We start from the raw sequence: 25715 nt of genomic DNA, 5'->3' as shown, positions 1-25715 counted from the left end.
TGTAAAAAAGTATGTGATAACAACAACAAAAACAAAAGTAGCCAACCTATCTAACTAACATACAAAATAGCTAACGCTTCTTACTATGTTTGCCAGGCACATTTAGTGTCTGTTTCCTAGCCTGTAAAATAGGAATCATAGTTCCCTATCTTTTAGAGTTGTGAGGAGGATTAGAGTTAACATATATACAGCGCTGAGAACAGTGGCACATAATAAGTGCTATCTCTGCAATAGCAGTATTGCAGTTATTACTATAACTACTACAATGATGATGATGTTCTAGCAGATTACCAGGAGGTGGATTGCTACTATCATTATGGTACTAATCATAGTAATTGTTACTGTTATGATTAATACTGCTACTATTGCTACCACTACTGCAATTCCTTTGACCCAACAATCTTGTTCTGGGTATCTGTTCCCTAGAAATAAAAGCAGTAATTACCCCATTATATGTACAAAAATATTTGTTGCCATCTTGTTGGTAATATGGCACTTCTAAATCTTTGCCAATCTGAAACATTTAAAGTATTATCTCATTGTTACTTTATTTTGTACCTACCCTACTACCAGTGAGCAGGAGCATCATTTTATGTATATTTTTCATATACATCATTTCATTTCATATTCATTAACTATTTCATATTTATCATTTAGGTTTGCCCTATATTTTAAGTGTTAATTTCATTTATGTTATCTGTTTCTATACAATAGTTAAACAAACTTTTCTATATTCTGTGTAATATAACTTTCTTTTCTTTTCTTTTTTTTTTTTTTTTGGGACGGAGTCTCACTCTGTCACCAGGCTGCAGTCCAGTGGCGCAATCTCAGCTCACTGCAACCTCCACCTCCCGGGTTCAGGCGATTCTCCTGCCTCAGCCTCCTGAGTAGCTGGGACTACAGGTGTGCACCACCATGCCCAGCTAATTTTTGTATTTTTTAGTAGAGATGGGGTTTCATCATATTGGCCAGGCTAGTCTCGAACTCCTGACCTCATGATCCACCCACCTCGGCCTCTCAAAGTGCTGGGATTACAGGTGTGAGCCACTGTGCCCGGCCTGTAATATAATTTTCTACAGGATTTTATATGTATAAATACGAATATATTATGTATAAAAATAAATATAAATATATGTCTAAATATAAATATGTGTGTGTATATATATATATATATATATATCTGCATTTCTTGACTTGGTTAAGGTTTGTTTTTAAAAATGTTCTTTAAGATTATTTTATCCAATTAAAAATATCTGTTGAGGCTGGGTGCAGTGGCTCACACCTGTAATGCAAGCACTTTGGGAGGCCAAGGCAGGTGGTTAATGAGGTCAAGAGATTGAGACCATACTGGCCAACATGGTGAAACCCTGTCTCTACTAAAAATACAAAAATTAGCCGGGTGTCGTGGCGTGCACCTGTAATTCCAGCTGCTCAGGAGGCTGAGGTAGGAGAATCACTTGAACCTGGGAGGCAGAGGTTGCAGTTAGCAGAGATTGCCCCACTGCACTACAGGCTGGTGACAGAGTGAGACTCTGTCTCAAATTAAAAAAAAAAAAAAAAATCTGCTGGGATTTTTGTTAGAATAGTATGAAATGTATAATAGGCTAATTTTAGGGAAACTGATTTTACTTCTTCAGTGTTAAGGCAATGTTTGCAGATCCTATCATTACCAAGTCAGAAGGTGTTTTCAGCCTGTGCTGGAGACATTCCTGGCCATTGTTAACATTACTCTCATCTAGTTCTCATAATAGACCCATAAAATAGTTTTCTTTCTTAGTCTCTCTCTCTCTCTCTCTTTTTTTTAGATAAAGAAACTGGTACTCAGTAGTTCAATAACTTGCTAGTAAGTAGCAGAACAGGAATTGAAAGTCCAGTTTTGTTTTTTATCCAAGTGTAGTAGAAGTTAAATTGCTGGAAACAGTGATGGATTTATTTGCATGAGAGAAGTCAAGTAAACATCCTCAGAAGGAAGGGATTAGCTGTCCACCTGCTCATTCCAAGTTCTCTAGAACAGTGCTTCTAAAACCTCAGAGTGCATGCACACCTGGAGATCTTGTTAAAATGCAGATTTGGATTTAGTATGTTGTGCGTTCTATCTGAGAGTGCATTTCTAACAAGCTCCTCTGTGATGCCAATGTTGCTGGTCTGAGTGCCACACCCTGAGGAGCAAGGCTTTAATACTAGCTTTTAGTTCTCATGGGAATTACAAGTAGAACAAACCAGTGTGGCATATGAACCCCACTTCTTAAACCAGACTTTACATTCTGACTATGGAGAGGGAGATTGTTCCTCCCTCTGGGTCTGCAAGATTGACAACCTTGTCCCCATTACCCATGAGGTGAAAAGCTATAGGCTTTTACTCTCCACTGGCATTTTAAGTAGTCTTAGTTTTTTTAAATCTATTTTTACTATATTGGTACCTTCTTACCTTTTCTACCCCACTAGGATTTTAGGGAAAAAAAAATAAATCTTAATCACAAAAACATTGGGAACCCATTCAATTTTGTTTTCCTGTTCTGAGAGTCAAAAATCAAACTGAGAGTTTTTTTTTTAAGTTAAAAAGTATATCTTGAGTACTTTTTAAAAAATGTAAGGCATAGATGTGTTTTTAAGTGTAAGCTATAAATGCGTCTAAGAAGAAACAATCCATAGCACATTCAAGATCACACATGCTCTGCATTCTCTTTATTGTATGGATCCAGTCACCTTGATTTGCCATCTGTAGAGTGTCTTTTCCACATCATGAAGAAGCCAGATTCTAGTACTATTGTACTGGGGTCGGCACAAAAGTATTGGGCCTTCTAGGTTTGTCATGAGTATTGTGGGTCTGTGATGGGAAGGAGCACATAGGAGATGGTGTGGGTAGGTGAACTGCCTGAGGGTTCTTTTGAGACCATGATTCACCTTCTCTCCATGGTGGAGTAAGGACGTGGGTTACCTTTCCTTCAAATTTATACGCTTTTATTACTAGTAAAATTTAAATGGCATATTATTTAAAGAAATGAGAGCTTTCTACCATTTTAAAGACAGTTTCTGTAGCTTTTTGGTCATTTGTATTTCTTAGATGGTAATTTTCTATTATTGCAAATATAGATAAATATGGTTCTCCTTGAAAATTTCTGACATTGGTGAACATTTAAAATTCATCAAATATGTGTTTGTTTCTAATTTTCTAAATGTATAATATAAACTCCCATATCTCACCATTATATAAGAACCATTGTTTTTTACTTACCGTTACTAAAGATAATAGCAATAGAGAAGAACTACCCTGATTAAATATGAAAAGTAACTTATAAAAGAAAGTCTAAAAAAGTAGACAGGAAATTTAGTTTATGCTTTTGAGATATATGCGTGGCAGATGAAATGACAGGAGGCTCAATGCTCTCTTTCTTTTTCTCTGGCCATCCGTAGTGAACCTTAAGTGTTTGATCCACACAGAATCTGAAGAGTTAGATCCTTGGCAAGTAGAAGTTTGAATTCACAGGAAGGACATTTATGAATCATATTAAAATACTACATTTTAAATTGGTGTCCCCAACTTTACGCTATGAATGGTATTCAAGTATTTTTGAACTCTTCCTAAGGAATAGTGGAAAGCCCTCCAACAAATATTTGTGGTCTTTTAAAATAAATTTTCACCATAAAAAATTCCTTTAGTCAGCCGGACGCGGTGTCTCATGCCTGTAATCCCAGCACTTTGGGAGGCCCAGGCAGGTGGATCACCTGAGGTCAGGAGTTCGAGACCAGGCTGACCAAAATGGCGAAACCCTGTCTCTACTAAAAATACAAAAATAAGCTGGGTGTGGTGGCATGCATCTGTAATCCTAGCTACTGGGGGGACTGAGGCAGGAGAACTGCTTGAACCTGGGAGGGGGAGATTGCAGTGAGCCAAGATCGTGTCACTGCACTCCAGTCTGGGCAACAAAGTGAGACTCTATTTCAAAAAAAAAAAAAAATCTTTTAGTCTCAGAGCAAAGCTGATCGACCTTTTTATATATACATTGTGGCTCAGCTGAGCAAAGACTTGAGCCGCTGCATGCTTCTTAAGGAATGTTTTTTGAGAAGTACATGGAAGATTCTTCATAGCACATTCTGCTGCATACTGAGCAATAGGCTCCTCCCTCATTGACTCCACTCAGGGAATAATCCTGAGCTGGGACACTGGGGAAGTGGAGTTTACTGCAGTTAGACTGCACAGAAACTATCATGTAGAATGAGGCATTTTACTCTTCTTCTACTTATAGTGACTTTAGGGTGATCATATACTTTATCATGGCAACTAGGACAATGTGGAGACTGAAGAAAAGGGGATGTTTCTGCTAAGAATTATGCCCAAACAACAGAGGCTTATAGTGGGTCTCTTCTGGTCAGATCAGGATGCATGGTCACCCTATCTATAGGAAAACATGGTGGTCTAGAAAAACTATCGGTCAGAACAGCTCCAGGGTGATACTGATTTATTCAGCTCTAATTAATTGATGTTCATTCTGAAATGATACCCACCAGTAATCTCCAGACTGTATTTCAGCCATCATTTACATTGCCTATTCTTTCACAGCTTTAGCAAATAGTGTTACCTGTTTGCTCTCTTTCCTTCTGCCCTTCCCCTGGTAGAGGGAAGCTGAGAAGGCACAGACTCACAAAAAGGCAAAAGGGAGCAGGCCTGGCAACATGAAACACACGTGTGACTCACCTCGTGTGACCAGCCTCCAAATAATCAAGGCTTGATCTTACTTTTACATTTTAACAAATAGCAATTTAAAGGCTAAGTATGGTGGCTCATGCCTGTAACCTCAGCACTTGGGAGGCCAAGGCAGGAGGATCAGTTGAGCCCAGGAGTTCCAGGTGCAATGAGCTATGATCATGCCTAGGAGACAGAAAAAAACACCAGAAAAATTTAAATTCTTTTTTAAAAGAAGGAAAGCTTCTGGTCCAATTTTCCCATTTTCAAGATTAGCCAATAAAAATTATGAAAGTTTGAATTATTTGTCGAAGTCCTTTTCTATACAGACAAAGCTGTAACTAAGATTCAGGTCTTTTATGTTCCTCTCTTTGCTAACAGGTTTGACATGAAAAGTTTAGGTATGTGGTTTTAGACAGCTGTCATCCTTGAACAGAAATTATTTGTGTCACTGTCATCTTATGTGGGACTATATGTTACAGATGGCAGACAGTTTAAAGATAGAAAGGACTGTTTCTTGACCGTGACCTTACTATTTTATGGAAATTATAGGTACACATTTCATAATACACTTAGGAAATGCGCATACACATACAATTCTGATTCAGAAAACAACTTGATTCAAGACTTGTTTTTATATAATTAGATGCAAGCAAAAGCAGACCATGTCCTCAACACTGCAAATTTTATGTTTCCAAATATTTGTTGAAAGCTAGCACTTTCTAAGTATTTTGCAAGAGACATTGTGACAAATGTCCTGCCAAATAATATATTAAATGTATTTCTATCAAGTAACACTTTGTTTAGTTTTAAAATATCTCCTTGAGCTTCAGGTAACATGTTGCAATACTGGAGAAAGCAAAAGGAGCTATAAAACCTAGCTGCCTGTGATAACTATAATGTTCCTAATAATTTAGCCAATGTGAGTGGCATTTGAAGGATTATTTTCATAGTTACTTTGGAAAATTAGCAGAAAATAACATGTTTAGCAAGGAGTCCTGAATTCCTCACATAAGTTGTGCTTCTAGGTTTAATATCAGGTTTAGTTATTGAGTTGACCTAGTCTCGTTTTAGTTCAGTTTCTTGCTATAGGCATGCACTATATTTGTTTTTATTGTTATCATTTTCTCAAGCCCAGTGAGTAAAGCCTCACTTGTTGAGGATGAAACTGTTCTCAGACATTTAATGTTGCTGGAATCAATTCCTTGAGAAAAAGCCATTTTATTCCCAGGGTTGCTTGTTTACTATAGAGTAAGGCTTGGTGTTATTATTTATTTTGACTAATGTTCTGTGCACAGCTGCAATGTTTGGGTATACTCCTGTGAAAAAAAACATTGGGACAGAGTATAGTGCAAAGTTTTAGTTTAAAGTACTTTTGAGAACACTTTAGCCAGCTTCTAATCTGATATATAAATCTTTGACTTTGTTTTTCAGAAACCATCTTTCTTCTGGAAAACTTCCAGTGATAGAAAGCTCGGTTCTTATTAAAACATCTTCTAATTTGTTTAAAAATCTCTAACAGCTTATCTAGCAGGATGAAACCATCTCCCTTTAATTTAATTATTTTCTCATTCACTCACCTAACCTATATTAGGCACCACTACTGAGCCTGGTACTTTTCTGTGTGATGGGGAGATAGGCCATGTTCTGTGCCCTCTACTGGGATGAGATGGAGGGACAGAAACAAGAACAATAGGATAACTGCTTTATGAGGTATTTGCAAAGAGCATTAAGAGGGAAAAGATCTGTAGGTAAGGCGGGAGTTGGGAGAGAATCTTTACACTGGACTTGATGTTCAAGCTGGGCTTGAAGGAAAAGTAGATGTTGCTCAGCACATGAGAACAGGAAAGCTGGGGCAGGATGGTATTCCAGGCAGAAGGCACTGCAGGAGTGAAGATGTATAGGCACTGGGAGGTGTGCATGGTGCATTTTGGAGATGTGCAAGCAGTTTTGTTGTTTTCCATATATAGAATGTGTCTAGGAAAGAGCTGGCAGGAAGCACGGTTTAAGAAAAAGTTTAAGGGGTAGCTGAAGAGGGCCTGGTGTGCCCTGCTCAAGAGTTTAAACTTTGTTCTCTCAGAGGCAGTTGAGGGAAGACGAAATAAATGGTAGTTGAAGAAGAACCATAAAGGGTAGCTATAAGCAGAAGAACTTGATCTATGTTCTATAAAAGTAACCGAAGGGTGAATTGGAGGTGAAATCTGTGAGCTGAAGAGTTCTATTATAAAGTAATTATAGTTGGATAGCAAAAGAGGATGAAGGCCTGAACTAGCCAGTTGTGGCAGAAAAGGGGGAGGAATTCACCCGACGCCTTGCCAGAACAATTTGAAGGACTTGAGACTAATTAGATATAGAGCTGAGGAAAAGGGAGAGGTTCAGCTTCCCTGCCAAGTCTCTAGTTTACATGATTGAAGGATTGATTATACCATTTACAGGAAAAACAGTGGGAGGGACATACAGGTTTTGGAGGAATGGAGGTAAGTTTAGTGTTAGAGATGTTGAAATTGACCGTGATAGTATGATAGATAGTTATATCCCAGAGTTTCCTTTCTTGTCCATCTGGTAGACCTTCAAACAGCTGAAGATTCCATTTCTGAATTGATTTAGGAATAGTCTAATCTTTCAGACTGACTGAGAAAGATTAAGAGAAAACCCTTAAGTCTAAAGTGACTTGCAGTAATTATAGGTTATGTATATGAGAGTCTCACTCTGGTTTTTTGTTTTTTTTTTTTTTGTCATATAGCTCTTCTATGAAGTAGGACTTATTTTTATATCATTTTACAGGTGAGAAAACTGAGGCATAGGAAAGTTCAAGCTGAATGTCATATAGCTAAAAGGCAGTAGAGCTGGAATTCCTAGCTGAAATTCAAAATTCAGTGGCTTCTCATTGTCATGATGGTGAAGCTGATATACCTTGAAATGGCTTCCAAGACTCCATGCAGTCTCACCCCTGCCTGCTTTTTCCTTCTCACCATGTGCCAATTTTGCTTACCATGTCATGTTGCCTTCCCTCGTGGGGCCTTTGTTCTTTCTGACCAGAAGGTTATTTTCAACCCTCCTTTTCCTGAGTAACTTGATAATTATCCTTTAGATCTTAGCTCTCTTAGAGAAGTTCCTTTGACCCCGTGGAATGGGTCAGGCCCTCCCAAAGGAATTTGTACAGAAACTTGTACTATGTCTTCTCAGCGCTTGTTACAGTTCTGTTACATATTTATATCCCTGATAAGTTGATTAACCTGTGTCCTCTTCACTTAGTTAATTGCACCACAGAGGCAGTGTCTGTTACTGTTCATCAGTGTATCCCTAACACATAGCACAGTGCCTGGCAAAGAGTGGGTGACCAATATATGATTTTTGAATGGAAGAATGACTTCAAAGCCCAGGCTTTTAATCATCCTGCCATATAAGAAATGTCTTGGAATACACCACTTAAAAGATATACACTTTTTTTGTTGTTAAAAATGGAAGACCTATATGTAGTAACTAAACTGATAATGAATTGTACACTATGAAGAATGAAATAATGTTTTGACACGACTAAAAGCTGTGTTACTGAAAACTGGCTAAACAGCCTATAAAGCCAGTATAGAACAGAGAAACCAACAGCAGTCATTACTTTGAAGAGTGATAAAGAGAGGAGTTTTTTATAACTGTAAAATAATTTTAGATAATGAAATAAAATACCACATGATATGGTTTGGATTTGTGTCCCTGCCAAATCTCATGTTGAATGTTGGCTGAGAGGCCTGGTGTGAGGTGACTGGATCATGGGGACGGATTTCCCCCTTGCTGTTCTCATGGTAGAGAGTGAGTTCTCAAGAGATCTGGTTATTTAAAAGTGTGTAGCACCTCCCCCTTCTCTCTCTTACTCCTCCTCTGGCCAGGTAAGATGTGCCTGCTTCCCCTTCCACCATGTTTGAAAGTTTCCTGAGGCCTCCCCAGCCATGCTTCCTGTACATCCTGTGGAACCATAAGCCAATTAAACCTCTGCTCTTTATAAATTACCCAGTTTCAGGTATTACTTTATGGCAATGCTAGAATGGGCTAATACAGAAAATTGGTATCAGGAATGGAGCATTGCTATAAACATACCTGAATATGTGAAAGTGGCTTTGTAACTCAGTAACAGGCAGAAATTTGAACAGTTTGAAAGGCTCAGAAGACAGAAAGATGAGGGAAAGTTTGGAACTTTCTAGAGACTAGTTAAATTGTTGTGATAAAAATGCTGATAGTAATATTGACAAATGAAGTCCAGACTGATGTGGTCTGAGATGAAGATGAGGAACTTACTGAGAACTGGAATAAAGGTCACTCTTGCTATGCTTTAGCAAAGAGACTTGTGGCATTGTTCCCCTGCTTTAGGTATCTGTGGAACTTTGAACTTGAGAGTGATGATTTAGGGTAATCTGGCAGAACAAATTTCTAAGCAGGAAAGTGTTTAAGATTTGGCCTGGTTGATTCTAAAATGTATGGTCATATATGTAAGTAAAGAGATGTTCTAAAACTGGAACTTATATTTAGAAGGAAAGCAGATCATAAAAGTTTAGAAAATTTGCAGCTTGACCATGTGGTAGAAAAGATAAACTAATTTTCCGGAAAGGAATTCAAACTGGCTGCAGAAATTTGCATAAGCAAAGGGGAGCTGAATATTAATATTCAAGACAATGAGGAAAATGCCTCAAAGGCATTTCAGAGACCTTCATAGCAGACCCTCCCATCACAGGCCCGAAAGCCTAGGAGGAAAGAATGGTTTCATGGACTGGGCCCAGGGCCCTGCTGCCCTGCAGAACCTTGGGACACTACTCCCTATGATCCAGCTGCTTCAGCTCCAGCTGTGGCTTAAAGGGGCCCAGGTACATCTCAGGCCACTTTTCCAGAAGATGCAAGCCATTAGCCTAGGCAGCTTCCATGTGGTGTTAAGCCTGTGGGTGCACAGAGGGCAACAGTTAAGACTTGGGAGCCTCTGACTCAATTTCAGAGGATGTATGCAAATGCCTGGATATCCAGGCAAAAGTCTGCTGCAGGGACAGAGCCCTCATGGAGAATCTCTACTAGAGCAGTGCCGAAGGGAAATGTGGGGTTTGAGCCCCCACAAAGAGTCCCCACTAAGGCACTGCCTAGTGGAGCAGTGTGAAGAGGGCCACTCTCCTCCAGACCACAGAATGATAGACCCACTGACGACTTGCATCATGTGCCTGGAGAAGCTTCAGGCACTCAATGGCAGCCTGTGAAAGAAAGCAACCACAGGGACTGTACCCTGCGGAACCACAGGGATAGAGCTGCCCAAAGCCTTGGGGGCCCACCCCTTGCATCAGTTTTGCCTGGATGTGAGACATGGCGTTAAAGGAGATTATTTTGGAGCTTTAAGATTTAATGACTGCCCTGCTGGGTTTGGGACTTGCATGGGGCCTGTAGCCCCTTTGTTTTGGCCAGTTTCTTCCTTTTGGAATGGTACTGTTTAGTGAATGCCTGTACCTCCATTGTATATTGGAAGTAACTAACTGGTTTTGATTTTACAGTCTCATAGGCAGAAGGGACTTGACTTGTCTCAAGTGGGACTTTGGACTGTGGACTTTTGAGTTAATGCTGGAATCAAAGTAAGACTTTGGGGGACTGTTGGAAAGGCATGATGGTATTTTGGAATGTGAAAAGGACATGAGATTTGGGAGGGGCCAGGGGTTGAATGATATGGTTTGGATTAGTGTCCCCACCGAAATCTCATGTCGAATTGTGATCCTCAGTGTTGTGGAAGTGACCTGGTGGGAGGTGATTGGATCATGGAGACGGACTTTCCCCTTGCTGTTCTTCTGGTAGTGAGTGAGTTCTCAAGAGGTCTGGTTGTTTGAAAATGTGTAGCACCTTCCTCTGCTCTCTCTTTCTCCTGCTCTGGCCATGTAAGATGTGCCTGCTTCCCCTCCCACCATGATTGAAAGTTTCCTGAGGCCTCCCCAGCCATGTTTCCTGTACAGCCTGAGGAACCATGAGCCAACTAAACCTCTTTTCTTCATAAATTACCCAGTTTCAGGTATTTATAACAGTGTGAGAATGGACTAATACACCACATTAATAGACTTTTCTGTCCCGGAGATACTTACAAGGTTTTAAGGACCCACATATAGCCAAGTAGAGGGAGAACATGTGCCCACAGATTTCATCAAAGAGCCAACAGTCTTCTGCTAGCTCTGTGTGTTTTAATATGTTCTGCTGTCAATTAGGTATGCCAAGGCCAACAGACCAGGAGATGGCTGCCATTGAGAAGACAGTTTATTATATTCGTAAATCCCAAGACATGGAGTACACATCTCATTATGGGGGGCCAAGAGGGGAAACACTAGGGTCAGTCACAAGGCACAAAGAGAGATGGGAACTGTGGGCAAGTGCTTATACCATGGTTCCTATGGGAAGGTATAGGTGAGGCAGGTAAGTGGGTTTAGGATTGGCCAGTTTGAACAATTGGCCTTGGGGTGATTAGGGCAGGTGTGTAGTGGCCCCTAAGTGGGAGAGCCCCATAAGGGAGGTACTTAGGAGTTTGGATTCTGGATTGCATGGTTTGTATTTGAAAAGTGCACCCCTGGGAGAACATCTCCTCTTGAGGATGGAACAAGCAACGAGGGAGGCAGCAGGCCAAGGCAAGGTGACTCAGGCACATTTTTAGGTTCTCCAGAGCAGGATGTGTCTGGCATATATATGCAGAACAGATGTTAATGCATCAAAAGAAGCTAGAAACATGGCTAATTCACTGCGACTGACTCACTTATAACTTTTATGAGTTTTACAATCTGTTCACTTCTAACAGACATGAGAATAATAATAACTGGCCTAATTCTACTCTTGAATGTGGTCCCAGGGTTCTTAACCTAACTTATAGGCCATTGACTCCTTTGACAGTCTTATAATTTTCAGAATATTAAACTGTATTCTAATTTGTGGATTAAAATACAGATTAATAGTAATATTAATTAACAGTGATTAATTACTAATAGTAATTAATTACTATAATCTGAATTTTATTTCAGATCCATTATTTCAGAAAGGGTTTTTAAATGGTGATGCTCTAGAATGCGTCCTACAAATATTAGCAGAAATTCTTCTATAAAAGATTAATATAATTAATATAATATTACTATTAATCTGTATTTTAATCCACAAAACAAAATGTATTGGCTTACAAAGGAAATTAATTATATCGAAATACATTTGTATTTACAGGTCAAGAACCACTGAGCTCCCATTCACCAAAGAAAATAGTTCAGACATTTAAACTGAACCTGACTTCTGCAGGAGACCCACTGCCCATCTTTCTAAAAAGGAATTCTACATGCTGTGTAGGGTAGTGTTTTTACCCTCTGTGAAACATACCATGCCTGTTTCTCAACTTGGGAGACAGTGACTAACCCTGGCACGTCGAAGCCCAACAGCTTGAATTTGAATCCCAGCTCTTACCTCTCAGGATCTGAGAGACCTTCAGCAGGGTATTTCCCTTTTCTGTGCTTCAGGGCACTTTTTTTTTTTTTTTTTTAACAGTTTGTAATTGTCTTCTTTGTGTAATTATTGCCTGTGTTCCCCAAGAGGTTCCAAGAAGGCCTGGATCTTATTTCTCTTATTTATTGTCAGTCTCTGAATCTTGCCCAGTCCAAGGCACATAGTAATTGTTGGGTAAATATTTGTAATGAATGATGGAAGTGTGAATTCACTAGCTGATTTTCCAAGCAGATAGCCATAATTTACTGTTCAAAGCTGTAGAGCTCTACACAGTCTGTTTACCTTGGAGCTTTCATGCAGAAAGCACGTTTCATGGCCACCAGCTGAGTTAGCGCAGACTCATTTCTACCTTCTGTATATTCATTGTATCAGCATTTAAAGCTAAAGCTGTAGCAAGTAATGGTAAGTGATGTTCATTACAATGCCAGAAATTATTAAAAATCAGGGTAAGTCGAATTTCCCTACATTGTACTTAAGAAGATAAATACACATTTCAAAAAGATTTCCATCAAAATAGGAAAGACATTCAGAACTTAGGGGTTAATAATATGCAGCTTTTAGGAAAGCTTCCCAGGAAGACTTCTTCTTAATAATGAAAAAATTTAAAACATGTACCAAAGTAGAAAAACACAGTGTAATTAATCCCCAATTATTCATTACCCAGTTTCAACAATTATCAACATGCCCTTCTCTACTTCCCACCTAACTTCTACCGGTCATGGTTAATTATTAAACCATATCCCAGTCATCATTATGTTTCGGTTTTTTTCTTACAAATATAGATATCAATATATTTCATTTAAAATTACTTCAGTATATAAGTCTAGAAAATAAAGACCTTTTAAAAAATAATATATTCTCATACCTAAAATAATCAAAGTAGTTTCTTAATATTTCCAAACATTCATTCAGGGTTAAACTTTCCTCAGTTGTATCATAAATGTTTCTATGTAGTTGATTTGTTTGAATCGGGATCCAAACCAGGTCAATGTATTGCACTGGGTCATGTCTTAAATCTATTTTAACCTATAAGAGTTTCTCCTTCTCTCCTTTTTGTTTTAACTTTCCAATTTTTTTTTTCAATTCAAGAAAGCAGGTCATTTGTCCTGTAAAATTTCTCATATGCTTGATTTTGCTAATTGCTTCCCGTGGTGGCATTTAACATGTTTAAATCTATTTCATGTATTTTTGTATTGACTGATAGTGCAGGAGGATTGATTTGATTCAAGTTTGACCTTCTGGTGAAAATACTTCATAGGAATTTCTGTGTGCTTCTGACCGTACCATGTTGGGAGACACATTATGTGTAATTGTCTCTTTTTGTGACACTAGGAGTGACCAGTGTGGTCTGGATCATCTGCCTACTTTCTCTATTCTGACTTCCCACCAGCCTTTCATTTAATGCAGTGGTTCTCAGCCCTGTCTGCCTGTTAGAATCTGTGAAGTTGCTACACATTTCTGATGCCCAAGCCCTACTCCCTAGAATTAGTCCAGGATAAACCTGTGTTCAGTAATTTTTTTGAGCCTTAAATGATTCAAATGTACAGACAGGATTGAGAACCAATGACCTGATAAAATTGCAGCCATTGAGGATCTTTTTTCTAGAGATCCATTATTTGAGAAAAGGTTGTTAAATGGTGATGCTCTAGAATGCTTCCTGCAAATATTACAGAAATTCTTCCATAAAAAGTTTAATCAAGTCCTTTGTTCTTCCTTTAGTTTGTACAGGAAAAGTAGGATAAAGAGAAATGATAGATTCTTGTCAGTTTTCTGAATAATGAGTTGAGTATTCAACTTTCTACAAAGACCAGAGAATTTTGTTCATTATGAGTTTATATACTTTAGCACATATATGTGTATGAGTTTATATACTTTAGCGCTTTATGAATCAAAGGATTACATTTAATGTTATTACTATTACTATCATTTTAATGCTTAAATTATTTGAATTTTAGCCAATAGAAGTCGTTTTAAATTAACTTGTGACTTTTTTTGACAATATTTAATTGTTCAGTAATAGTATTTAATTGCTTCCTTGCCTTTAAGAATGACAATGTGTTTTAGACACATCTTATATGTTTGATAATTTATTTGTTCTGTGGCCTCCTTATCTTGTGCAGTTTCTGTCCTGAACCTGGGATCAGCCACTTAATAGTTTTGTTTTCTGTATCCCATTTGGGTGGTATTCCATTTGGTGCCTAGGACATGATTACAAAATGGAATGGCAGTTATTTATAGTAATAGTAAATTTCAAGATGCAGCAAATGGTAATTGGGAAAGATATTATGTAACAAAATCCTTAATTTTCCTATTATTAATCCTGCAGTGAATGTTACGTAAATCTTTGGTAACCGGTTTGTACTTTTTTCTCCCCAGTTAATGTCCATCAGTGTGTTGGCAGTTTCTGCTTGGATGAGGGACTACCTAAATAATGTTCTCACTTTAACTGCAGAAACGAGGTATACTTTATAATTATTGATTGAATTCTTTCTTGCTGATTTTAAGTAACTTTGCCCTCAGCTATTTATATGGTAGTGCTCTTCCTTGATCTTTTGGAAAAGTTTTTCCTGCCCATAGCAACCTTTGTCACAGACACTTGCATCCTCCAGAATTCTCCTTAAGGTGCGCCTCTGGTCCTAGCAGGGGATCAGGTGGCAGCATGTTTATACAGACATTTCTGGGTATGGTAATAGCAGTTGCCTGTCCTCCTGATTGTGCATCAGCCATGTCATAGGTGCGTGTAAAGAACCAGCATAGTTACTTTTCCCTAAGAAAATTACCGTCAGCTTCCTCTTACCTTCATATTCTTGGGTTAATGAAAACCATACACCACAATGATTTTTTTTTCTCAAATTTCAAGGGTTAATCTACTAACATCACAGGGGACAAATTACTTTTTACTCCATCATCTCTGAATGGAGATTGTATTATATGACATCTGAATTGTGGTAAGGATTAAATGAAAACCATTTTTTTCAAGTCCTTAACACAGGGAAAGTTAGCTTAATAATGGTTAATTTTTATCATTAATACTGGTTTCGGTTAATGAATTTTTCATCGTGTTCTAGCAAAAATCATTTCTACCTATTCCTTTCTTTAAATGTAGATTGATTTTCCTTTGCATAGCAGTCTTTTACATTTTGGGGGAGGATCAATTGTCAGGGAGAAGAAACGTAGTGCACATGGGATCAAAAATTAGAGAAGAGGAAGGAGATTCCTCCCAGCTGGGAAATAGCAAAGGCTCCCATGTGATTTACTTAGGCTAAGGCTTCGGAGATAATAATAGATGGACCTTTTATCAAGGTCCTGTATATTATATGTTAAATGAGTTGGGGTAGGAAAGCTACCACTTGTATTAAAAAAAACAAACACTGCAAAACCAAAAATAAAGCAACCGAGCAAATAAACATAAAAACAATAGCACAGTGATTTTGAAAATAACAATGCAGTCACTAGTTTTGAGGCATCATGATTGAAAGAATTATTAACACAAATCACAGTTGTGTCTTCTGCTATGTCTTGGGTGCATTTTGATTATATTTTCTTTCTAATACATTATTTTTCTTCTTTCAGGGTAGAGGAAGCAGTCATTTTGACTTACTTTCCTGTGGTTCATCCGGTCATGATTGCTGTTTGCTGTTTCCTTATCATTGTGGGGATGTTAGGATATTGTGGAACGGTGAAAAGAAATCTGTTGCTTCTTGCATGGGTATGATGTTATATTTTCTCTTTATTATAGTTAAAAAGATTAACCAGTAATATATTATTTTTTAATCAGTTCACAAGATTAGGGAGCAGTGATAGCAGTAACAACATCCTGTAAGAAGGGACGCTTTCGTTTCACAAGAGATTATTTGAATACACATATTTGCTGTACCGGATGAGGTATGGAAATATATATAAGCAATTTAATTATTTCACTCCAGCTACGTGTTGACATTTTCATTTGAAAGTATGAGTTCTTTCTAGTGTCCTTGTAGTTATTAGCACTCAAAAAGGCCCCTTGGGACTGGAACTGAGAAGCCATAAAGGAACTGTTTCTTTCTCTTCTATTTTTAAACAAATCCACCCTGTAAGCTCCTATGGAAATTCAGGTTGTGAGGTAGCAGACGTATGTAATGGTCCTGTCACTGCCTTTATATAGTTTAGAGAACATAAGCGAGTCTCAGTTTCTATAATCTTGGTTGTTGTTTTTTTAACTCTGAGAGTTGCACTAGGTACTTTTTAAATTAGTTTCACCATTCAAATTCTGTGACTAGTCTTTTAATTCAAAAGTAGGCAAACATTTTTAACATTAAAAAATTGAGTTGATTAAAATACTGTTTATATAGATATTTTTAGAAGAGCACTTAATGTGCAAAATATATACTAGTGGCACCAGGTAATGAGATTACTAACATATAGTTGCAGACATATAAGGCTGAAAAATTAATTCATTGAGTATACGCTTTTTTTATAGTAGGTCTCAGCCCTGGCTGTGTATTAATTTCATATAAAGAACTTAAACAATTTGAGTGGTGTGCTGGTAAGCTGGATCACTGGGCAGAAAAAAAGCTCAGATTTGTAGCATTTGGGGATTTCCGTGGGGTAAATTCTCCCAGCATGGTCAATTTTAAGTTACCAACATGAAATCACTGAATGTGGAACTGGGGACAGATGAGTACAAATTGGCTCAAGGAGCCAGCTCCCACACACTCGTGCTTGACTGGCTCCCATGCCAAGTCAATTAAAACAGAATCTTAGTGTGAAGTTGAACTAAAGCTTTGAATTTCACAGTATAACCTGTGTTAATGTATTACTTAGCTTCTTGGAGGGTAACTGTTCAGGTCGAATATTGAAAAACACAAAATGCTATAGAAAATAAAGCACACTCAGGCCGGGCAAGGTGGCTCACGCCTGTAATCCCAGCACTTTGGGAGGCCGAGGCAGGCAGATCACGAGGTCAAGAAATCAAGACCATCCTGGCTAACACGGTGAAACCCTGTCTCTACTAAAAATACAAAAAAATTAGCCGGGCATGTTGGCGGGCACCTGTAGTCCCAGCTACTCGGGAGGCTGAGGCAGGAGAATGGTGTGAACCCGGGAGGCGGAGGTTGCAGTGAGCCGAGATCACGTCACTGCACTCCAGCCTGGGCGACAGAGCAAGACTCCATCTCAAAAAAAAAAAAAATAAATAAATGAATAAAATAAACCACACTCAGAGATGGGGAAACATGCCTACTGCTTTATTTCTCTTCATATAGGTATATAGTGAAAGGGAGAATGGTGGAAATTTGGGATCTTATTTTGCAATTTTAGATATTTGGGCAATAATTTAAACATAAACAAAAGGACTTACTTTACATGAACCTTCTATAATTTGAGTAGAGTATAACATATTTCAAGTTTTAAATAAAGAGTCTCAGAATTCTTTTTTAAAACGCAGTCTTACAATGATGTCTCTCTTGCATAACCAATTAAGGTCTGACTGCCATTTCCTCCCTCCTCCCAACTTTTACTCTGCACAGTCCCTATGCAGTGGGATGCTGGAGGGAGGCAGGGCAAGTAGGGTCAGGTATTTCATGGAACCACAAAGGCTTTGGAAACACATTTTGAAAACTCTTTATGCATTCCCTTAGGCTGCTTAGATGCTAGTAATGCAAATTGACAAACAACAAAGTAATGTGGCCTGCTACTTGAAGTAGAGCAAATCTTAAACTTGTGAATGAGAGTCTAGTTTGTAATACTGGCAAGAGCATTATAATGCAAAAGTGGCAGGGATGACTGAGGTTCTAAAGGCCACTAATTTACTCATTCATTCATTCTCCAAATACTTACTGATCATGTATACCACCAATTTTTGCTATCAGACCTGTCTTTATGAGATAAGACCTCTAATAGGGTTTGCACTGGGTGCTATTGAGGCCAGAGAGGAAGAACTCTGAGCTCAGCCCGAAGGGTTCAGTGCCACCCTCTGGGAAGATGATGAGCATAGATTGATTTTGCTTTTTTCCATCTCTACTTTGCTTTTTGGATGTACTCTTTTTTACAAAGCATCTTTTTATGCATTGCTGTTCCATGTGTCCCTAGGTGACATCTACATCTTGGTTCCTCCTTCCTGTTGATTGCCTTTGGCTGTTCGTTCTCCATTCCCTTTGGGGTGCCTCTCCTCTCATGGCAGGCTTCTAGTCCTTACTCTGTCTAGACCTAACACAGCTTCCTTCTTGCTAAAGAATGATCTGTGGTCTCAACTACCATGTATCTATCACTCACAACCAATTTGCATCTGGTCTGTTTCTCAGGCTCTCCTCTCTGGCTTCCTCCCCACATCCCACTCCTCTAAATAGCTGCCTATTCCTCTCAGTTCAGATTCTACAGTCATGGGAAGTTGTCCTCTCTTTTCTGTCCTCCTCTGGGATGCCCAAGTTCAGGCTTTCCTAACTTCCTGCTCAGACAGGTGCAGAGACTCCCTATTGGGTAATGAAGTATGTACCAACACCTCAAATGTACACCAAGCCCTTCTACAATGGAGACTTGATCTGCCATTTTTTGCTTTTTTATCTACTTCATTATTCTCTGGTTCTGTATTTTCTGACCCCTGAACAAACTTTCTTGCTCCGTTCTTCTCTACATTTATTCTTGCTGTCTTCTTAGCCAGAAATTTCTTCTCAGTACTTTCATTTAAATATTACTAGCCCATGAAGACTTATCTGAAATGCTACCTCTTCAAATGATAATTATGACACTGATGATAATTGAAGTAGTTAACATTTCTTGAGTACTTACAGTGCCAGACACTGTAGAGTTTTACCTGAATTTTTTTTAAATGAAGAGTTCTTGTACATGAGTTAATCAATTTTATCCTCTCTGCTGAGTATAAAATTGGACTAAAACTTTGAATTACCCTTATTATTCACTTAATATAGATGAGGAAATGAGGCATAGAGAGATTAAGTGAGTTGCCTAAGTCTACACAGCTAGTAAAGAGAGGATCTAATATTCAGGCCATGGCAGTCTAGTTCCAATATTTGTAACAATTTTGCCATTTTACTCTATAATAGCTGATTTTTTTCCTAAGTGTTTACAAATGTGTCCTGTAATGTATAAAACATTTTCATTTTAAACCTGACGACAATTATCTGAGATAGGTAATTATTAAATGAGGTTCAGAGAGGTCAGTAATATGCCACAAGTCATTCGGCAATAAGGCTGGGAGCTTGGATTCAGACCTCGGCGTTCCTGATTGCAAAGCCCATTCTCACTGGGCCTTTACTGATGTCTCTAATAGACTTTTCCCAACTTTTGAAGCCTAGTGTATTTCTCTTATTATAAACTTCCTTTTCTTTTTAATAATCAGCCCAGACTACCAGACTACAAACAACTTCAGTAATATGAACCATTCACCTTGCTCATTGCTTTAATAAGTGTTTATTAAATCATTGAATAACAGACAGTGAATTAGAATAGTGAAAGTAGGAATGACCAGCACATCAGATTAAAGATGTTGCCTGGAAGGCAGTGATGAGAGTGAGATTTTAACAGAGGAATTTGACTGTTAGAAAAGGTTAGATTACAAGGGGAATGGCTCATGGAGGGGTGGGCGGTAAAATAGTGCAGAATGCGACATGATGTAAGGTCTTGGGCAAATATTTGCAAAGTAACTTACAGTATTTTTTGTGTGCCCTTTAACCTTTTATCCTAATTAAAAACAATTTTTTAAGGAAGTTTCTTACTTTTATTTTGGATGTAAATATTTAAACAAGCAGAATACATTCATCCAACTTGTCCATTTCCCTGTATTCAAAGTCTTGTTTTACTTTTAAGAGCTGTAAAACAGATTAGTGTGAGAAAGCTATTTTTCAAAAGACAATTGGTATCTCAGAGAGCTGCCATATCTCTTGAATGATTATATATATATAAAAAAGAGCTGGCAACTGGGCTGTTTTGCTGTTCAAGCAAAAGTAAAAATGCCATTATTCAACAGACTGATCAAGAAAAAGTAAATGAGCCTTCCTCAAAACAGGTCTTTATAACCAGCCTCCCTGCAGCCCTCATCAAAAAGCAACAGAAAACCTCTACAAGCTAAGAGGCCACCTATTGGAAAACATTTCTGAGAAACCTTGGTCATGAATTTCATCCTTCTTTTGAATGATAGATTTATAGATGTAAGTTGTTAAAGCACCCTAATTTAAGGTTCCCAAATAAAATAGAAGATGCCCAATTAAATTTGATTTCAGATAAACAATAAATAATGTTTTAGTATGAGTATATCCCATGCAATGTTTAGAATATACATATACTAAAACATTATTCATTGAAATTTAAATTTAAATGGACATAGGTATTTTTATTTGCTTTATCTGGCAAACGTACTCATTAGATTTGTTCTTAGCAAGTGTGAAACTGTCATAGAACAGAAATTTTTATGTATTTATATGAGGGGTTTAAGAATAATTAAATTCTAATTATAATGGGAAAACAAGCCAAAAATGACTAAGAAAAGAAACTGGAATATGCCATGCCTTTCACGGTAATTTCAGTAGTAGAAATTCCTTCTCCCATTAACAGAGAAAGTGAAGCTAAATTGAAATTGGTTTTAAGCCTTAGATGGTTACTTCCCAAGGCTTTAGCTGTAGACGAAATGAAATTCATTTGTTATTGCAGTTCTACCTTGCTATTAACATAGGCATTAGGAAAGCAGTGCCAGCTCAGGGGGAATGTAAACAGATTGAACAGACATGTTTATGATGTTGACAACAGCTGAATGTCACCATCAGGAGATCATCATTTGTCAGGATGTGATGCAAATATATGCTCAACTGCCAGCAAACCACAAGCAGTCAAGTGCTTGTCAGAAATTAAGTTGGATGTACCTTACGTATTTAATACAAATGAATCATTTTAAAAGGAGAAGTGCTTTTTTTTCCAATTTTATTTTTCCAGAGACTTTGAATATAACTATTGATTGTGTGCTTGCACTTTTAAAACTTTCTTTAAATATAGAGTGATTGAACCAGATCTGAATGTTTTCCTTAGTGGAAATCAAATGAAATTTTAATGGCCTTGGAGAAATTTCCCCTTGTTTTTTTTTTGTTTGTTTGTTTGTTTGTTGTTTAAAATCATAATGCAAATCAGAATATATTTAAGTAGTAATTGATTTTCTAAAAAGTCTCTGTTTAAGGCCTTCTCTTACATAGTCATGAATTTTATGATTATATAGCTAGTCATAAGTCCTTAAGTTAAAATTAACCTATTAAGTTGTATGTCTTTATTATTTTGTTTATATTTTTGGTTGATAGCCTAAACTTTATTTCTAAATGAAGATTCATCATATTATTTACCGTATGTTCAGTATCTGCCCAATATTTTACCTTTGTTTTCTCAAAATATACTCACAGCAACTCTATTAGACTAATTTTACAAATGAGGAAAAGTAGAATCCCCAAAGATACACAGCTGGTAGTTGTTAGCATTCAAATGCAGCCTGTGCTGAAAGACCATGCAGGTTTCACTACACCACAGTACTGTTATAAGGCATTTAACTAATTACTGGCATTGTTTCTAGAAGACTTTAACTATGCTTCATTTATCACTCCAAGGCATTCGGTAGTCATTTAATTTCTAAAAATATGGTCTTTTGGTATGCTTATTATAAAATGAACTTTAAAATTTCTACTGTAGTTATCATTTTTGCTTATCTTGTCAAAGAATCAAGCAGTTTCTCCTTTCCTTTTTACCTTCCTCACCTCTCATTCCTCTTTCCTTTCCTTTTGCCCTCCTTAATTGTGTATTGAGTACCCATCCATGATAGTTACTTGAGAGAACAAAGATGAAAGGGGTGAATAGAAAGAAAATTACAAAGCAAAATATAACATTAAATTTATAAATAATTGCTGTGGGAACCCAGAATCAGGAGCAAATGGAGATTTCCAGAATGTTTCACAGGGGAGTCTTTATTTGAACTGGATGTTGAAAAATACATAAGGGTTTGCCGGTGGAGACGAGGAAGGAAGAAGATTTACAGCAACATGAAGAGTGTGTATAAACACTGAGGAGTGAAGGGACAGGGTAAGCTTAGGCAAAACTTAGAAAGTCAGAGTGGCTGTGGTGTTGGTGCACAGTGAGAAGAAAATGAAGTTAAGTCCAATTGTGAAGGTCTTTATCAAAAAGTTAGATGTTATTCTTTGGGCTGTAAAGAACCAATGCGTGTTTCCAGCTTGTGATGAAATGATAATTCACATTTAAGCGGGAGACAATAGAAAGCCCTGTTAGTGATTACATTATCATCCCCAGAAGCCATGGATAAGGGTATGAACTAAGTAAGACTTAGGGACTGGAGGAAGGTGGCTGAAATCAGTAAACCTTGCTGAGGTAGAATTATGGATAAAGCATTACATGATAGTAATGTTTGTATTGCTTGACATCAGGAAATGAAAAATTATTCAGCATTTGTACTTTTTTATATAATAGAAACATATCTACTCAATACATGTACTTTATTTGACTTGTTAGCTAGAATTCTTTAGAAGTTATAATTTAAAATTTTTTATTTGTAATTATCAATAATAATTGTATATATTTATGGGGTACAATTTGATGTTTCAATGATGTATGTATACACGGTGGGATTCTTAGATGAAGCTAATTAACATATCCACTGCATCCACTTATTTTTTGTGGTGAGAACATTTAAAGTTTACTATTTTAGCAATTTTGAAATATACAACTTATCATTATTAAATATACACTTATACATCACTCTATAGTCACCATGCTATGCAATAGGTCACTAAAAGTTATTTCTACTATCTAACTGAAACTTTGTACCCATTAATCATCCTTTCACCCTCCTCCTCTTCACCCTACCAGCCTCTAGTAACCACCATTCTACTCTCTATTCCTCTGAGATCAACACTTTTTAGGTTCCACATATAACTGAGATCATGTGGTATCTGTCTTTCTGTGCTGGCTTATTTCACTTAACATAATGTCCTCCAGGTTCATCCATGTTACCACAAGTAACAGAATTTCCTTGTTTTTTTAGGGCTGTATAGTATTCTGTTGTATATATGGACTACATTTTCTTTATCCATTCATCTATTGATGGACACTTAGGTTGCTTTTATGTCTTGACTATTGTGAATAATGCTGGAATGAACATGAGAATACAGATATCTCTGTGGCATTCCTATTCATTTCGTTTGGATGTACACTCAGAAGTGAGATTGCTGGATCATATGGTAATTCAATTTATAATTTTTTGAAAACCTCCATACTGCTCTCCATAATGGCTGTACTAATTTATATTTACTCAAACAGTGTACCAGGATTTTTTTCCCCCACAGCCTTGCCAACATTTGTTATCTTTTGTCTTTTTGATAGTAAACATTCTAAGAGCTACAAGTTGATATTTCATTGTGGTTTGAATTTGTGTTTTCCTAACAGTGATGTTGAGCATTTTTTTTCATCTCTTTGTCTTCTGTTGGGTATTTGCATGTCATCTTTTAAGAAATGTCTGTTCAGGTCCTTTGCTTATTTTTTAATTGGGTTATTTACTTTCTTGCTATTGAGTTGTTTGAGTCCATTTTATGTTTTGGATATTAGTCCCTTAACAGATACATGGTTTGCAAATATTTTCTCCTAATCAATGGGTTTCACTCTTCTAATTGTTTCTTTTGCTATGCAGAAGCTTGGTAGTTTAATATTTTCTCATGTGTCTATTTCTGCTTTTTTTCTGTCTGTGACTTTGGGGTCATATTAAAAAATCATTGCTCAGATCGGTGTCCTGGAGTTCTTCTCATGCATTGTCTTCTACTAGTTTTACAGTTTCAGGTCTTACATTTAAATCTTTAAAACATTTTTGTTGTTTTTTTGCTTATGCTGTGAAATAAGAGTAATTTTATTCTTCTGCATATGGATATCCAGTTGTTCCCCTTTATTGAAGATACTTTCCATTTCCCATTGTGTGTTATTGGCATCTTTGTCAAAAAATCAATTGGCTGTAAATGTGTCAGTTTACTTCTTTCTGGGCTTTTTGTCCTTTTCCATTGGTTGATATCTGTTTTTAGGCTACTACCATGCTGTTTTGATTACTATAACTTTATAATATATTTTGAAATCAGGTAGTGTGATACCTGCAGCTTTGTTGTTTTTGCTCAGGGTTACTTTGGCTATTTGGGGAATTTGTAGTACCATAGGAATTTTAGGATTTTTTTTCCTGTTTCTGTAAAAAAATGACATTGGAGTTTTGATTGGGATTGCATTGAATTTGTAGGTCACTTTGGATAGTATGGACATTTTAACAATATTAATTCTTCTAATCCATAAACATGGGATATCTTTCTATTTGTTTGTGTCATCTTCAATTTCTTTCATCAGTATTTTATAATTTTCAGCATATCGATCTTTTAACTCCTCAGTTAAATTTACTTGTAAGTATTTTATGGCTTCTGATGCCCCATGAAAGTATGTCAGCAGATGTCTTCAAAAGTAAATGTTGTGTCAGAGACAGGGGCCAGGAAAACTGTGTGATATTCATGGCCTTAGTGTTGGGTCTTTATGAGAGGATTTTGGCTGTTCATTGGAACTTTGTCTTTCTTCAGGGTTTGAAATATGAATGATTCAAGTTTTTGTATGGTGTACTATGTCACCGTAAGCATTTTAAACCTTATTATAGATTGTTTTTAGATATATACATTTGAGATAATTTTAGTTAAATATAAGCCAAATATTTCCATATCCATTGATTTGGTGACTGTCCTGAGTTTGTGCAAAGTTCAAAGTCAGGTATTTTTCTGGCAGCACATGCTATTGAAATGTTCATTCCACCTGTGAATACTGGTCACCAATTCAGCGAATGCTTCCTTGAGGAGAGTTCAGCAATTGTGCTGTGTTTTCACTTTCTCATTTACTTCCACATGTCTCTCTACTAACTTCCTTTGGCAAACATAAACCAGAAAACATTCATTTAAAAGGAGATGACTGAGGAAACAGTATCCTAAATGTAAAGAGAGTTAAAACAAGAGGGCGGATAACGTTTGTAAAAGTTGAGAGAATTAAGTCATTTAAGCCAGTGAGGAAAGCAGCTTTTAGATGGAATATTTAGAAAAAAAAAAAAATCATGGTTAGTATTTGCTTTATGTGCAATGTCTAATGAAGTTGTTGGCTAAATAAGATTATGAATTAAAGAAAGCTTTTTCTTGAAACTATATAAATTTTAAAAACTCACATTTTTAGAATTGTAATCCATGTGTCTTTTCCTTTTTTCAGAGAAAAGGTAATAGGCTCAGGTTACATGCTCAGGCTAAGATAAATTTTCTCAGCTTAGATGACAGAAACAATAACTTAAATTGTATTTAAAATGTTTTAACACTGTAGTTGTATCACTTTGTATTTCTGTTAAGCAGCGCATTTGAATTATTCTAAAATAAGTGGTTATTCCTGAATTTTCTTTATACAGCCGTTATTTTAGTTATAAAACTTTAAACTTTAGAAACAACAAATTTCCTTAAAATAATGACATTTTAGAAACATAATCTTTAAGAAGAATATGAATACAATTCTAAAGATT

General features: G+C 36.9%; 1 protein-coding gene across 4 annotated transcripts in view; it reads left to right on the top strand.

Annotated features, from left to right (window-relative positions):
- Window positions 1-25715, top strand: part of TSPAN12 (tetraspanin 12) — a 71016-nt gene that overhangs the window by 3684 nt on the left and 41617 nt on the right. For all 4 annotated transcript variants that reach the window (XM_047420096.1, XM_005250239.4, XM_047420095.1 and 1 more), the window contains 2 exons: window positions 14543-14625; window positions 15740-15875. In XM_047420096.1, the coding sequence (XP_047276052.1) occupies window positions 14543-14625; window positions 15740-15875 (219 nt within the window). The remainder of the gene's footprint in view (window positions 1-14542; window positions 14626-15739; window positions 15876-25715) is intronic.

The sequence above is a fragment of the Homo sapiens genome, chromosome 7 (genome assembly GCF_000001405.40).
Source record: "Homo sapiens chromosome 7, GRCh38.p14 Primary Assembly".
Classification (NCBI taxonomy): Eukaryota; Metazoa; Chordata; class Mammalia; order Primates; family Hominidae; genus Homo; species Homo sapiens.
Note: the sequence above shows the minus strand (reverse complement) of the source record. Positions and strands in the feature narration are given on the sequence as shown.